The sequence below is a fragment of the Homo sapiens genome, chromosome X (genome assembly GCF_000001405.40).
Source record: "Homo sapiens chromosome X, GRCh38.p14 Primary Assembly".
Lineage (NCBI taxonomy): Eukaryota > Metazoa > Chordata > Mammalia > Primates > Hominidae > Homo > Homo sapiens.
This window is the reverse complement of record NC_000023.11, coordinates 154,121,229-154,136,975: the sequence shown is the minus strand read 5'-3', so window position 1 is coordinate 154,136,975 and position 15,747 is coordinate 154,121,229. Positions and strand designations below refer to the sequence as shown.

The 15,747-nt window shown below is 47.2% G+C and overlaps 2 annotated features.

Moving 5' to 3' along the window:
• Window positions 8-302: a silencer, noted in NCBI's record as "tiled region #3572; HepG2 Repressive DNase matched - State 12:CtcfO". NCBI's record gives its function as "represses a minimal TATA promoter and a strong SV40 promoter by Sharpr-MPRA in HepG2 cells {active_cell/tissue: HepG2}" and the evidence as "EXISTENCE:reporter gene assay evidence [ECO:0000049][PMID:27701403]".
• Window positions 235-284: an enhancer, noted in NCBI's record as "active region_30054". NCBI's record gives its function as "activates an Ori minimal core promoter by ATAC-STARR-seq in GM12878 lymphoblastoid cells {active_cell/tissue: GM12878}" and the evidence as "EXISTENCE:reporter gene assay evidence [ECO:0000049][PMID:35858748]".

Sequence of the window (15,747 nt, the reverse complement as noted above, 5' to 3'; positions counted from 1 at the left end):
TGGATTCTGGTTCTCACTGTTGACAGGTGGGCGCCTTCTGTCTGCCTTAGCACGGGGACCCCCGGGAACGCGGGAAGGCCCGGGGTTTGGCCTCCTGTTCGGCTCCCGGGCGCCCTCTTCTGGCGCCGCCTCGCCGCTCGCGCGTCAGGAAGCCCCCGGCGGCCGCCGCGGGTCCTCGGGAGTTCTCCTGGGGCTCGCATCTGCCCCCATGCGATCCTGAGCGGGCCTGGGCCATGTCCTGAAAGGGTGGATCCTGGTCGGGACCGCTGGGGCCCTTTGTAGTCCCCTCCCTGCTTTGTCACATCCTAGCGCTTTCTGATGGCACAGGTTCTGGTTTCCTCCAGTATATCAAGGAGGGGGGCTCATTCATTCTTCCTGTGTTTGGACTTCTTTTAGGAGAAGTGGGGGAATTCGGGTTTTCGCTGCCTTCCTACTCCTGCCTGAACCCAGAAATCTTATTAGCCTTTTTTCTTAAAAACTTTTTTTTAATAGTGGTAAAATACCCATAACATACAACTTACCATCTTAACCGTTTTTAAGTACACACAGTTCGGTGGCATTAGTGCATTCACATTCTCTTCAGTATCATTTTTGTGTTAAAATCATTAATTCAGTGTGTGGTCCAGCCAAGTGTTTATTTTTTTAATTTTAACTCTTACAGACAGTGGAAATCAGACAAAAGCTTAATTTATACGATACATATGCAATTAAAATACCAAGATTTGCACATACAATGACATGATTCCCTTTAACTGTCTTTCATTGCTAGGGAAGAAATTTCTAACAGAATCTTAGTGCACTATTAGACAGCACTATTTCCTGTCATTCAGGGACCCAGGTGTTTTTCTTGCACGCATTTCCTGTGTATTTCCTTTATCTGTTATTGTGTGTATTCCATTGATCTGTCTCACATTTTGTACACAATGCAACAAGAGATATTATTTGCTTCCATTGTTCTAAAAAGCTTTCTACTGCCTTTGAACAGAAAACTTGTCCCCACTCTGACGGCAGCCCCTGTACATCTGGGTAAGGCTGTGACCCTCCAGGTCATCAGTGTAAGCTCTAGCACATTCTCTCCCCTCTCAAGTTCCATCCTTGTTCTGCAAGGCTGGGTGTCTTAGAGTCTTGGATCTGATGATTTGAGCTTTGCATTTACAAGTGACATTTCTGGTGACATTGTACTTACAAACTCGGTGTTTCCAATTATAGCATGGGAGGCAAGAGGACCAACTTGGATTCACTGATGCAAATAACCGCTTTGTTCTGAAGCCAAGCAGCCCGTGGGCAGTGGCATGGCACAGACTTTAGATGTTGGTCACATTCCCTGCCCAGTCATAAACTCACTTGAGGTTAGTCATTGATGTAATCATTTGAACGAATAAAAGTCAAGATGAATATGATCTCAACCCATACTCCTCTATCAAAGATAGCTGTGGTTTTCTAAAGCGTAACCTATTTGCTATACAAGCATTTTCTTTTGTTTTTCTTTTCTTTTCTTTTTTTTTTGAGATGGAGCTTCACTCTGTCCCCCAGGCTGGAGTGCAGTGGTGTGATCTCAGCTCACTGCAACCTCCACCTCCTGGGTTCAAGCCATTCTCCTGCCTCAGTCTCCCGAGTAGCTGGACTACAGGCAAGCACCACCATGCCCAGCTAATTTTTGTATTTTTAGTAGAGACGGGGTTTTGTCATGTTGGCCAGGCTGGTCTCGAACTCCTGACCTCAAGTGATCTGCTCGCCTCAGCCTCCCAAAGTGCTGGGATTACAGGCGTGAGCCACCTCGCCCAGCCTATACAAGCATTTTTTACATTGTGATACTATCTCTTGCCTTGGAGGCATCTAGGATCTAATGTGGTCCTAGATGTCCCAGCTGCACTATCCAGCCTGCACAGACCTAACCTGTTAAATGGAGAAATAGAGAAAGGGCAAGAGGACAAGACGTCATTGTATGACTATTAGAAATAGTACACTAAGGATGATGCCAAAAAATATTCCTGGACAGATAGAGAACAAGAACTGTCTCTTCCTCATCCATTTCCCTTGTTCCCTGCAAATCCTTTGTAATTATTACTTATTCTGCTGGGGGAATAAGTAGGGGCCAGCAGTCTTCCTCCATGAGTCGAGTCTGCCAGGCTTTTCAGGTTGCGACCTGCTCCCCAGAGCTTACCATACTCTCTCCATTTGGTCTGGATCTCAAGTGTAGAGCTGCCTAACAAGCCCCCCCAAAATTTAGTGGCATAAAATAACAATTGATGAGTTCTTATGAGTTTATGTATCGACTGATCTGTAAGGCACAGTTCTTCTGCTCCACCTCGTGTTGGTTGGGGTCACTCATGCCATGTCTGGCAGTTGGTGCTGGCTGTTAGCTGGCTTGTATTACTCTCCTCCACATGGCATCTCATCCTGCAGGGCCTCTCTCTCCATGCGGCCTCTCAAGCAGGATAGCCCAGACTTCTTCCTATGGTGCTGGCTTCCAAGAGGGCAACGACAGAAACTGCAATGCCTGTTATGGCCTAGGCCTGGAAGTCACCTAATGTTCCATCTGCCACATCCTAGTAGTCAAAACAAGTCACAAGGCCAGCTCTGATTCCAGAGAAGGGGAAAAAGCCTCCGCCTCTTGTTGGGCGGAGTGCCAAGTAATGCTATAGAAGGACATGCAGAATGGGAGCCATGGGAGCAGCCATCTTTGGAAACAATCTACCTCATCCAGTGAGAGGTGTTCCATCCATTCCCATGTTTAAGAGAAAACCCTAGGCTGGGCACTGTGGCTCACGCCTGTAATCCCAGCACTTTGGGAGGCCGAGGTGGGTGGATCACCTGAGGTCAAGTGTTCGAGACCAGCCTGGCCAACATGGTGAAACCCCGTCTCTACTAAAAATACAAAAATTAGCCGGGTGTGGTGGTGGGTGCCTGTAATCCTAGCTACTCTGGAGGATGAGGCAGGAGAATCACTTCAACCTGGGAGGCAGAGGTTGCACTGAGCTGAGTTCGTGCCATTGCACTCCAGCCTGGGTGACAAAAGCGAGACCCTGTCTCCCCAAAAAAAAGAAAGAAAAAAAGAGAAAACCCAAGGAACAGAAAGAAGTTGGTACAGCCTTGGCACTGGGATCTCTGATGGGAAAGTGGGGGTCTATGACAGTGGCGCTGCCACTTTCCAAGTATTGGTGTCCACATTGTCACCACTTGATAAACCTTGGTGTTGATGCGTTCTAGCCCCTGCATTCACACCAAGGTACAGCTTGGCTGTACACCATGACCCTGTCCTGCTAGGCCACTTGTTTCTAGCTATCTTGGGTCTGGAAATCTCCATTTTGTGAGTCACTAAAACTATTAATGGACAAAGAGATTTTAAAGCTCACAATACAATCTTTCAGAAGGTAAAAAGTCATCGTGCTGAGAGCACTTGTGTTAGCTCTTGCATAAAAAAATAAACATTTAAAATTCATCCCAAGAAGTTATGCATTACCAAAATATTTTGTGTTTTTGTTGTTGTTTGAGACAGAGTCTCACTCTGTCACCCACGCTGGAGTGCAGTGGCACGATCTCCAATCACTGCAGCCTCTGCCTCCTGGTCTCAAGCGATCCACCTCAGCCTCCCAAGTAGCTGGGACTACAGGTGTATGCCACCATACATGGCTAATTTTTTGTGTATTTTTTGTAGAGATGGGGGTTTCACCATGTTGGCCAGGCTGGTCTCGAACTCCTGGGCTCAAATGATACTCCTGCCTTGGCCTCCCAAAGTGCTGGGATTATAGTTGTGAGCCACCACGCCTGGCCAATATGGTGGTTTTTAATTAAAGTGAAAATCACATAACATAAAATTAGTCATCTGAAAGTGTACAGTGTAGTGACATTTAGTGCATTTACTAATGCACGTTGTGCCACCATCACCACTATGTACTTTCAGAATATTTCATCATGCCGTACAGAAACCCCGTGTCCATTACGTGGCCACTCCCCATCCCCTAATCCCTCAGCCCCTGGCACCCGCTAATCTGCTGTCTGTGTCTATGAATTCCTCTATTCTGGATATTTCACATAAAGTGGCTCATCTGATATGTGACTTTTCATGTGTGGCTTCTTTCACTGAGCAAAATGCTTTTGAGGATCTATCTGAATTTCAGCATGTATCGGTACTTCATTCCTTTTTACCGAAACACATTGAAATTAGTGACATTTTTATACATTTACAGGATAGTTTTTGTTTGTTTGTTTGTTTGTTTGTTTGTTTTGAGACAGGATCTTGCTCTGTGACCCAGGCTGCAGTAGTGGCACGATCACAACTCACTGCAGTCTCGACCTCCTGGGCTCCAGCGATCCTCCTGCCTCAGCCTCTCGAGGTACCTGGGACTACAGCCACACACCACCATGCCCAGCTAATTTTTGTATTTTTTCTGTAGAGACAGGGTCTCGCTATATAGCCCAGGCTGGTCTCCAACTCCTAGCTTCAAGCGACTCTCCTGCCTTGGCCTCCCAAAGCACTGGGATTACAGGTGTGAACCACTGCTCCCAGGCTGCAGGGTAGATTTTTTAATTCCATTGAGTCACTTTTCGTAACTACAAGCCTCATTCTTCTCGGCATCAGCCTTTATTCGTGTGCACCATACAGTGGGTTACCCAAGCCAGGCAAAGGGGCAAACCTGGATGGTCCCAAGCAGCCAGGTACCAAACACGGTGGTCCGAAGACCCTTGTCAGTGTTGTTATTAATTTGAGGACTGATCTTGGAGAAGTCCAGTACCAAAGAGAGTTGCCAGGAGACACGGGTCAGTTGCTTAAGAGAGGAGCACAGCTGCCCTAGAACAAGAAAGGCCCATGGCCTTGACAGTGTAACCAGAGTCCCAATATTTGATAACAACACACAGGAGAAGGTAACATGGTAAGCAGTGGGAATTTTAGCTCCTCCACAAAGGAAGAGCCTTTGCTCTTTGTTCTGTTCGATTGCTTGTTCTCTTATAATTGGCTGCAGTTATGAAATAACCATGCCAAGGGGCAGCATAAAAGCACCTCTGTTAACAGATTTGCAGTGCTGTGAGCTCCTAGTAGGGTGAGAAAAAAAACCTCTGGCTCTAGATAGGATACTTGAGGTTGAAAATATATTGATTACTTAAAGACCCTTTACTCCCTTGCGCCCAGGCCTCTGCACTCCATCATACAGAAACTTTAAAAAACATTCATTGATGTAATACACCTCTATGTATGTTTATGTAAACATACACTTATATGCAGTCACAGTAAAAGATGTTCACGGCCAGGCATGGTGGCTCATGCCTATAATCCCAGCACTTTGGGAGGCTGAGGCAGACAGATCACCTGAGGTCAGAAGTTTGAGGCCAGCCTGGTCAACATGGTGAAACCCCATCTCTACTAAAAATACAGAAATTAGCCAGGCATGGTGGTGTGTGCCTGTAATCCCAGCTACTTGGGAGCCTGAGGCAGGAGAACTGCTTGAACCTGAGAGACAGAGGTTGCAGGGAGCCGAGATCACGCCGCTGCACTCCAGCCTGGGCAACAGAGTGAGACTCCATCTCACACACACACACACACACACACACACACACACAGATGTTCAGGTAGTGGTATTATTTACTGCTTTAAAAGTTTAGGTTTTATAGTAAAAATTTAAAAATCAGGCATAGGTTGGGCGTGGGGGCTCATGCCTGTAATCCCAGCACTTTGGGAGGCCAAGATGGGAGGATTGCTTGGAGGCCAGGTGTTCGAGAGTAGGCTGGGCAACACAGCAAGGCCCCATCTCTACAAAAAGTAAAAATGCAAAAATTAGCAGGGTGTAGTGGCACCCGCATGTGATCCCAGCTACTTGGGAGGCTGAGGTGGGAGGATCACTTGAGCTCAGGAGTTTGAGGCCACAGTGAGCTAGGATTGCACCAGTGCACTCCAGCCTGGGTGACAGAGTGAGACTCGGTCTCTAAAAAAAAAATAAGTAAAAATTCAGGCATAGCACAAAACAATGTTTAGACTACAGTGATTTTCTGATTTATGAGTGTTGTGTGGCACCATTGTGTTTATGCATAGACTAGAATACATATATGTCAGAAATAACTGTGTGTGTTTGCATTTTGTCTTTATGAATTTTCATTCCTTTGGAGATTATCCAGGTAAATATACTTGCTAATTACCTCAATTTATTGTCTACCCCAGGTATCAAAGTCAGTAGATGAGGGAATCTTAGAAATTATACTAGGCTGCCTGGGCGTGTTGGCTCACACCTGTAATCCCAGCACTTTGGGAGGCCAGGTGAGCGGATCACGAGGTCAGGAGTTCAAGACCAGCCTGGCCAACATGGTGAAACCCTGTCTCTACTAAAAATACAAAAATTAGCTGGGTGTGGTGGCGCACGCCTGTAATCTCACCTACTCGACAGGCTGAGGCAGGAGAATCGCTTGAACCCAGGAGGCGGAGGTTACAGTTGGCCAAGATCATGCCACTGCACTCCAGCCTGGCAACAGAGCAAGACTCCATCTCAAAAAAAAAAAAAAAGAAAAAAAAAGAAAAAAAGAAATGATAGTAGCACAATATGATCACACTTCATGAATAAAATTTGACAAATATGACACTACAATTTATTCCGTTTACAAGGTGGAGTAACTTTGTAGGGCTACACAATTACTGCTATTGTTGGAAGTTTAAAAGGTTGATTTTAAAAATACAGATATTCATTATTATAACTCAGTTTAGCTCAACTCGTGTTTACATTTACAAAACCTTAGATATTTAGTGTAAGAAATGCTGACGTACGTGATCTGCAAGGTAAGTATTATGGGTTTAGAAAGGTCAACATAATAAAATTTCTCATGAGAAAATCATAATGGATACATCTCAAATCTTGCAAAAACCAAAGCACAGTGTTCCCATTGTCACTTTTACATACTTCGTACTGTGATAAAACTGGAGAGAAGACAAAGACATACAGCTATTTCTTAAATGAAGAATAAAACAATTTAATCTATTCAAGGATTTTTCTTATAAAGAAATATTGAGGAAACCTGGAGTTTTAGATTATTTTCTTGGCTTTATTTGTTTTTTCTTGATACATTGTAATCATGCATATTTATGGTGCCAATTCATATCACGTTGCACAATGACCCAATCACGGTAGTTAGTGTACCTATCACCTCATGCAAGTATCATTTCTTGACAATGCGAACATGCAAATACCTCTCTTCTAGCTATTTTATTTTATTTTTTATTTTTTATTTTTTGAGATGGAGTCTTGCTCTCTTGCCCCCAGGCTGGAGTGTAGTGGTGCGATCTCAGCTCACTGCAACCTCCGTCTCCTGGGTTCAAGCGATTCTCCTGCCTTGGCCTCCAGAGTAGCTGGGACTACAGGTGCCCGCCACCACACCCGGCTAATTTTGTATTTTTAGTAGAGATGGGGTTTCATTATGTTTGCCAGGCTGGTCTTGAACTCCTGACTTCAGGTGATCCGCCCACCTCGGCCTCCCAAAGTGCTGGGATGACAGGCCTCTTCTAGCTATTTTAACAGTAATATGCAATATCTTACTGTTAACCATCATCATCCCACTGTGCACAGAACACCAGAACTTATTCCTCCCATCTAATTGTTATTTTGTACTGTCGACGAACCTCTCCCTGTGCTCCCTTCTCCAGTCTCTGTGCTTCTAAGATATCAGCCTTTTTTGTTTTGTATACAGACAGGGTCTCACTCTGTCACTCAGGCTGGAGGGCAGTGGCATGATCCTAGCTCACTGCAGCCTTGAAGTCCTGAGCTCAAATGATCCTCCCACCTCAGCCTCCTGAGTAGCTGGGACTACAGGCTCACACCACCATGCCCAGCTAATTAAAAAAATATATGTATATATATATATATATATATATATATATATGTGTGTGTGTGTGTGTGTGTGTGTGTGTGTGTATATATATATTGTAGAGACAGGGTCTCTCTAGGTTACCCAGGCTGGTTTCAAACTCCAGGCCTCAAGGGATCTTCCTGCCTTGGCCTCCTAAATCACTGGGATTACACTTGTGAGCCACTGCACCTACCCTCAACTCTTTAAAAAAAATTCCACATATAAGATCACACAGTATTTGTCTTTCTGTGTCTGGCTAATTTCACTTAACATGATGTATTCCAGGTTTATTCATGTTGTTGCAAATGACAGGATTTCATTCTTTTTATGGTTGAATGGGATTCCGTTGTGTATAGATACCACATTTTCTTTATCCATTCATCCATCGATGGACACTTGGGTTAATTCCATATCTGGCTACTGTGAATAATGCTGCAATAAACATGAGGGTGCAGATCTCCTTGACACACCATTTCATGTCCTATGGATATATACCCAGCAGTGGGATTGCTAGATCAGATGGTAGTTAGCTCTATTTTTAATTTCTTTTTTCTTTTTCTTTCTTTTTTTTTTTTTTGAGACAGGGTCTCACTGTGTCACCCAGGCTGGAGTGCAGTGGCACTATCACGGCTCATGCAGCCTCAACCTTCTGGGCTCAAGCAATCCTCCCACCTCAGCCTCCTGAGTAGTTGGGACTAAATGTGTGCACCACCACGCCTGGCTAAATTTTTTAATTTTTTTTTTTTTTTTTTTGAGATGGAGTTTCACTCTTGTTGCCCAGGGTGGAGTGAAATGGCGTGATCTTGGCTCACCACAACCTCCGCCCCTGGGTTCAAGCAATTCTCCTGCCTCAGCCTCCCTAGTAATTGGGATTACAGGCATGTGCCACCACGCCCGGCTAATTTTGTATTTTTAGTAGAGACGGGATTTCTCCATGTTGATCAGGCTGGTCTTGAACTACCAACTTAAGGTGATCCGCCCACCTCGGCCTCCCAAAGTGCTGGGATTACAGGTGTGAGCCACCGCGCCCGGCCTTAATTTTTTTTTTTTTAATTTTTTGTAGAGATCGGGTCTTGTTATGTTGTCCAGGCTGCTCTCAAACTCCTGGGCTCAAGTGATCCTCCCTCCTGGCCTCCCAAAGTGCTGGGATCACAGGTGTGAGCCACCGTGCCTGGCCGATTTTAAATTTCTTGTGCCTCATATTGTTTTCCACCAACACCAAGTGTTCCCTTTTCTCCACATCCTCATCAACACTTGTTTTCTTTTGTCTTTTAAAAAATAGCTGTTCTAATTAGAGTAAAATGGTATCTCATGGTGGTTTTAATGTGCGTCTTCCTGATGATTAGTGATGTTGAGCATTTTTTCATGTATCTGTTGCCCATTTCTGTGCCTTCTTTTAAGAAATGTCTATTAAGGTCTTTTGCTTTTTTTCTGAGACAGAGTCTCGCTCTTGTCACCCAGGCTGGAGTGCAGTGACGCGATCTTGGCTCACTACAACCTCGGCCTCCCGGGTTCAAGCAATTCTCCTGCCTCAGCCTCTGGGAGGCAGGATTACAGGCGCCTGGGATTACAGGCACCTGCCACCACGCCAGGCTAATATTTGTATTTTTGGTAGAGATGGGGTTTCACCATGTTGGTCAAGCTGCTCTCGAAATCCTGACCTCAGATGATCCTCCTGACTCGGCCTCCCAAAGTCCTGGGATTACAGGCGTGAACCACTGCGCCAGGCCCCATTTTGTTTTGTTTTGTTTTTGAGACAGAATCCCATTCCATCACCCAGGCTGGAGCACAGTGGTACACACATGGCTTACTGCAGCCTCAAACTCTTGGGCTTGACTGATCCTCCCACTTCAGCCTCCCAAGTAGCTGGGACTTAACATGCCATAGTTACAGTGTTATAGCGTTTTGTGTTTTTTATGTACTTACTATTACCACTGAATTTTATACCTTCAAGTGATTTCTTATTGCTCATTAACATCCTTTTCTTTTAGATTGAACTGCTCCCATTAGCATTTCTTGTAGGACAGGTTTGGGACCGATGAAATCCATCAGCTTTTGTTTGTCTGGCAAAGTCTTTATTTCTCTTTTGTGTTTGAAGAATATTTTTGCCAGTTATACTATTCTAGGGTAAGCTTTTTTTCCTTCAGCACTTTAAATATGTCATGCCACTCTCTCCTGGCCTGTCAGGTTTCCACTGAGAAGTCAGCGGCCTCCATTGCATGTTATTTGTTTCTTTTCTCTTGCTGCTTTTGGGATCCTTTCTTTATCCTTAACCTTTGGGATCTAAGTGTTTGGTCACTGCAGCTGTATCTGCTTTAGGGGGCACCCCAAGCCGAGTAACCCTGTGGTTCTTGCAGGTGGCAAAGGCAGCCAGGCCAGTGTCGTCCCCTCCAGGGTGGCGAGTTCCCCCCAGTCCTGGGCGGATACAGAGATGCCATTTGGGAGCCAGTGCCTGTAGTTGGGAGTCTTAGGAATCTAGTTGGTGCTGTATTCTACTGTGGCTAAGCTGGCACCCAAGCTGCGAGACACAGGCCTTCCCACTCTTGCCTCCCTTTTCCACAGGCAGAGAACCCTCACCCCACAGCCACCACTGCCCCAGGCCCACGGGGAGTACTGCCAGACTATCGCTCGTGTTCACTCGAGGACCAACGGCCCTCAGTCAGCTTGTGGTGAATATGCTGCCATGCCTGAGCCTCTCTCTTCAGGGCAGTGGGATCCCCTCTAGCCCTAGGGCAGGTCAGGAGCCCAGGCCTGGAACTGGAACTGGGGACCCCAGGAGCCCACTTGGTGCACTACTCCGCTGTGGTCGAGCTGGTACCCAAGCTGCGAGACAAAGTCCCCTTTACTCTTCCCTCCCTTTTCCTCAAACCGAAGGGGTCTCTGCCTGTGGCCACCGCAGCTGGGAGTGTGCTGGGCCCGCACGGCTCTGAGTGTCAGCCGAGGCCTGCAGCAAGTACGGCCTGGGTATGGCTGCTGGTTCCTCAGTGCCCAAGAGCCCTTCAGTCAGCAGGTGATGAGTCCCGCTAGGACTGGGTCCTTCTCTTCCCTTCCGGCCGAGGGTGTCTAGAAATGTCGTCTGGGAGCTAGGGCCTGGAATGGGGGCCTCACGACTCTGACCAGTGCCCCATCTTACTGTGGTTGAGCTGGTATCCAAGACACAAGACAATGTCCTCCCCACTTTTCCGTGTCCTCTCCTCAAGCAAGAGGAAGGAGGGGCTCCTGGAGCTGTGAGCGGCACTGCCTGGCCTTGGGGGAGGGGAGGTGTAAGCATGGCCCGAGCTACCCCGGCTGCTATCTCACTAAGTCGCTTGTACCCCAAGTCCGCTGGCTCCGAGCCCAGTCCAGCAGCAGGACTTGCCCGGGACTTGCCGTCCTTGTTGCCTAGACTGCCTTTCAAGTATATTTCAGGCCCCTGAATACTTTAGGCCGCAGTGGTGAGGCTTTGCTGGAGCTCAGGCTCCATCCGCTGAAGATGGGCGATTCCTCTCCGGCTAGGGCTGATGTAAATCCTCCCTTCGTGGGCGCCCGCTAACTTCTGCCCCGTGTTGCTTTCTGCTGGGACACGGCAGCAGCGCTGAGTTCCGACGCAAAGCCCCACAGTCACCGTGCCCTCCCTCCCCCAAGTGTACAGCTTCTCTCTCTGCACCACGAGGCTGCTGCGGAGCGGGGGCTGGGGGTGGGGGGTGCCGGGGCTGAGGCTGGGGCGCGGGGCGGGGAGTGATTCAAGACTGTCCTTCCTACCCTTGTCACGGCCTCTTTCAGTGATGTGAAGTTCAACCAGGTCCTGTGATCGCTCACCTGATTTTTGGATATTAGGAAAGTGCTTTTTTGTGTGGCTAGTTGTTCAATTTGGTGTTCCCGCAGTGGGGATGATCACTGGAGGCTTCTATTTGGCCATGCTGTTCTGCCTCTCTCTCTATCTTCTGTGTTGATAAAGCCCTTTCAATATTAGTAAGTGTATTTAACACAGTAGAGATTCCTGAAGCTTCTTCATGACTGTTCAATTTGGGCCTGATAGCAATATGCGTTTCCTTGTTTCTTATCCTGTGACTGAGCAAGCAGGACATTGTAACAGTGGAGGAAAAATCCCCAGTTTTCCATGTTCTCTCATCCAAAAACTTTTTGAGAGAAAGAGTACATTTAGGAAGCAGGACGACCATTTAGATTTTTACTAATAGCCTGGTTTTATATGGTTGGTTTTATATGGCTATTTATAAATGTTTTGATTTAACTTGTTAAAGTGTAATATCCCAAAATTCTATGATTTATTTTTCTCTTTTCCCATTGCAATATTTATTTATTTATTTATTTATTTTGAGACAGAGTCTTTCTCTGTTGCCCAGGCTTGGGTGCACTGGTGCAATCTCGGCTCACTGCAACCTCCGCCTCCCGGGTTCAAGCGATTCTCTTGCCTCAGCCTCCTGAGTAGCTGGGACTACAGGTGCACCCCACCATGCCCGGATAATTTTTGTATCTTTGGTAGAGACCCAGTTTTGCCATGTTGGCCAGGCTAGTCTCAAACTCCCAACCTCAGATGATCCACCTGCCTCAGCTTCCCAAAGTGCTGGGGTTACAGGCATGAGGCACCACACCCCGCCCCATTCCAGTATTTAAAAACGACTTTTGTGCACAGAAAAGAGATAACATGATGATTTGTTCCCCACAACTTCAACTTATTTAATTTAATTAAAATTTCTAAACAGGTTACCATGTATATAGGAAGGAAAACCCACATTGTATAGAGACCAAAATTTATATAATTTAGGGTTCCTCTTTAAGAATACTAAATCACTTGCAAATGTGTCCATTCATTTAGAAAAAGATAAGAAATCACAACAAATTACAAATTTTAAAAAGCTGACAAATACAACAAAAGGCAGCAAAGTACAATGTTTTTGTTCCTATTATATTTTGTACTGAAGCTACCTGTGTTATCTTTTTTCCCCACATTTTGGCTGCATAGTGTTAGATCGCATCTTCATCTGACAATGATATTGTGACATAATTCTCACTAGAGGGAACAGAAAGATAAAGCAGTCTTCCTTCCACTCTGCTTGACTGAAATGTTTTCTGATTGCTATCACACAGTCTTTGTTTGTTTCCTTATCAGTAAAGCTGCACCAGAAACTTCCTCTGTCATTTCCTGCTCAGAGGCGCTCCCTGCCCCAGGACTAGCTCTCTGGGTGTGGCCTGTGGTCCGTGGTGTGGCCTGTGGTGTGGCCCATCAGTCCGCCCAGGGGTCACTCGCCCTCTGTGTGGCCAGTTGCTGGGTTGCTGTTCCTGCAGCAGCTGCCCTACCCTGGCCAGGCCCTTACTGTCCCTGGTTCTCTCCATCCCAGGACCATCCTAATAACCGTTTCTCCTTTTTTCTTTTTCTTTTTTTTTTTTTGGAGACGGAGTCTCTCTCTGTTGCCCAGGTTGGAGTGCAGTGGCATGATCTCAGCTCACTGCAAGCTCCGCCTCCCAGGTTCAAGCGATTGTCTTGCCTCAGCCTCCTCAGCCTCCCGAGTAGCTGGGATTACAGGTGCTCACCACCACGCCCGGCTAATGTTTGTATTTTTAGTAGAGAAGCAGTTTCACCATGTTGGCCGGGCTGGTCTCGAACTCCCGACCTCAAGTGATCCGCGCACCTTGGCCTCCCAAAGTGCTGGGATAACAGGCGTGAGCCACCGCGCCCGGCCCATCCTAATAACCTTGAAGCCTGATTGTAGCCTCCCCTCTCCCACCTGTCCTCAACCATGCAGGGAGTGGAGCAGTGCCTCACAGGGTTCCTCCTCCTGGAAGTCAAAGAAAAGTCAAGCTTTTGATGAGGTCTGGCAGCCCCCGTGCTACCACTGACCAGGGTGTGAGGGTGGCCCAGGCCTCTAGTGCCCAGCTGGGGTAGCTGCCCAGTCCCCAACTGTGTGGAGAGATTCTCACCGTGGGGAAACTCTAACTTTGAGAGTTTGTCTTAAAAGGCCAGCACTTTTATAGTATCAGAGGTTTGGCCCTACATTTTAAAATGTTTTTCTCTGGTGAGTCTTTGAAGCCAATCAATCAGAATAGTGGTTCCATCAGCTGGGAGAGCCTCAGCATCTTCATTCATTCATTTCCTTTGCAAATGGGCAAAAGTATCCTTTGGGGGAAACTCCTCCCCTTTACTCTAGTTCTAGCTGTACAGAAAAAAAGCCACCATCACCCAGCAGGATCGTCTTTTTTTTTTTAATTTAAAAAAAAATTTAGGGACAAGGTCTTGCTCCGTCACGCAGGCTGGAGTGTAGTGGCATGATTATAGCTGACTCCAGCCTCAAACTCCTGGGTTTAAGTGATCCTCCCACTTCAGCCTCCCAAAGGGTTGGGGTTTACAGGCATGAGCCACCACGCCCAGCCACCCAGCAGAAGAATCTCATCAAACCCTCCAGCATGCTGGAGAGTGTCAAGGAGGCCTCCCCTGAGGACATGAGTCCCTCCCCTGTGACTGTGCCCGGACTGAGGGTCTTTGATGGCTACAGAGTTTCACGGTGTCCCTACAGAGTTGGTCAGCTCAGGAACCCCCAGGTAAGGACTGGCAGGCAGAGGGGCTGCTCCCTACTGTGCACAGCACTACAGAAAGTGTGGATGGAGGATGAGCTGCTATTCAGTGCTGAAGCTTGAAGCTCACACTGGCTCCCACAGCTTCTTCTGCCATCCCATCACCTTATTCCATGCAATCCAATGTATGTATTTTCCTGGGATTTCTCTAGTTATTCAGAGCAGAAGGACCAGCCTCAAGGAGTTCAAGTAGAGGTCAGTCTCATGGGGGCCAGACAGGCCGAGCTGGCCACCACTCACTCGCTTCCCTCCCAGTACAAGACTCAGACCCGCATGACCATGATTGAGATGTCTCGGGTGCCCTCGAGCCACCCCCCCCAGGAGCCAAATTCTTCCCAAGAGTCCATTATCCCGGGGACAGCTGTCTTGTGATCCTGTTCCCTGGAGAACACAGGCACGGAACAAGCCCTGATCCCCTTCGGTGACGACTCAGTAGTGTGCACAGCCAGGAAACCACAGAAGACAGGCAGAACCAGTTCTCCAGCTGTAGCTACAAGTTAACTATAAAAAGACCCCTGGGTCCACAGGGCAGGGCTACTCGGCTGGCTCTGGCCCAGGCTCTTGGGCACAATTCTGGCCACAGACGGGAAGCACAGAGAAGATAACCAATGGTGTCACAAACAGGTTTTCCAAGATTTCAATCTGGGAGACAGGACACTTCATCCAGGCTTCCGGTTTCAAAATTGGAAGACAAATGTCCTAAGGGGTCTTGTCAGTTTTGTATACTGGCACACAGCCATGATTTACAGAAACAGGACTTTTGGTCTCTCACCCTGGAAGACAAGAGGAACTAATCAAAATGGGCCAAAGGACCAGAAACTTCCAGTGGACATCACACTTGGACAGATGAGAGCTTAGAAAGCAGCTCAATTGCTGTGACCAAAGTTCGGCTCCCCCCTCAGTGACAGTCCTCCTGGGAAGGAAGGTAAGAGACTCAAGGAGCCTCTGGGGTCCTGCTGGGACTTCCCAGGCCAGGGCTGTGCTCCAGTGGCAGCTATCCTGAGGCCAGGGACATTGAGGGGAACCTCTAAACAATGGAAACAGCCAAAGAGATGATGAGCGTAGGTCCAAGTGCAGCCAGGCAGCCTGAAAAGAGAAAGGGAAGGTGGAGTTCTCAGGGACAGGCTTCAGAGGAAGAGGAGGGTTTAAATGAGTCTCTTCAGTAGGGCCAAAGCAAGTTCATTTCCCAAGGGCTAAAAGTCTGCCATGTTTTTATGAGTTGTTTGGGTTAAACCTGGGTCATGTTGACCTAGATACATCTCCAAGAAACACCAGATATGGGAATCTTAATAAGAAAGAATGAGCAACATGGTTGTGATCTTCCAACAGAAATACAGTGCAAGAGGCCGG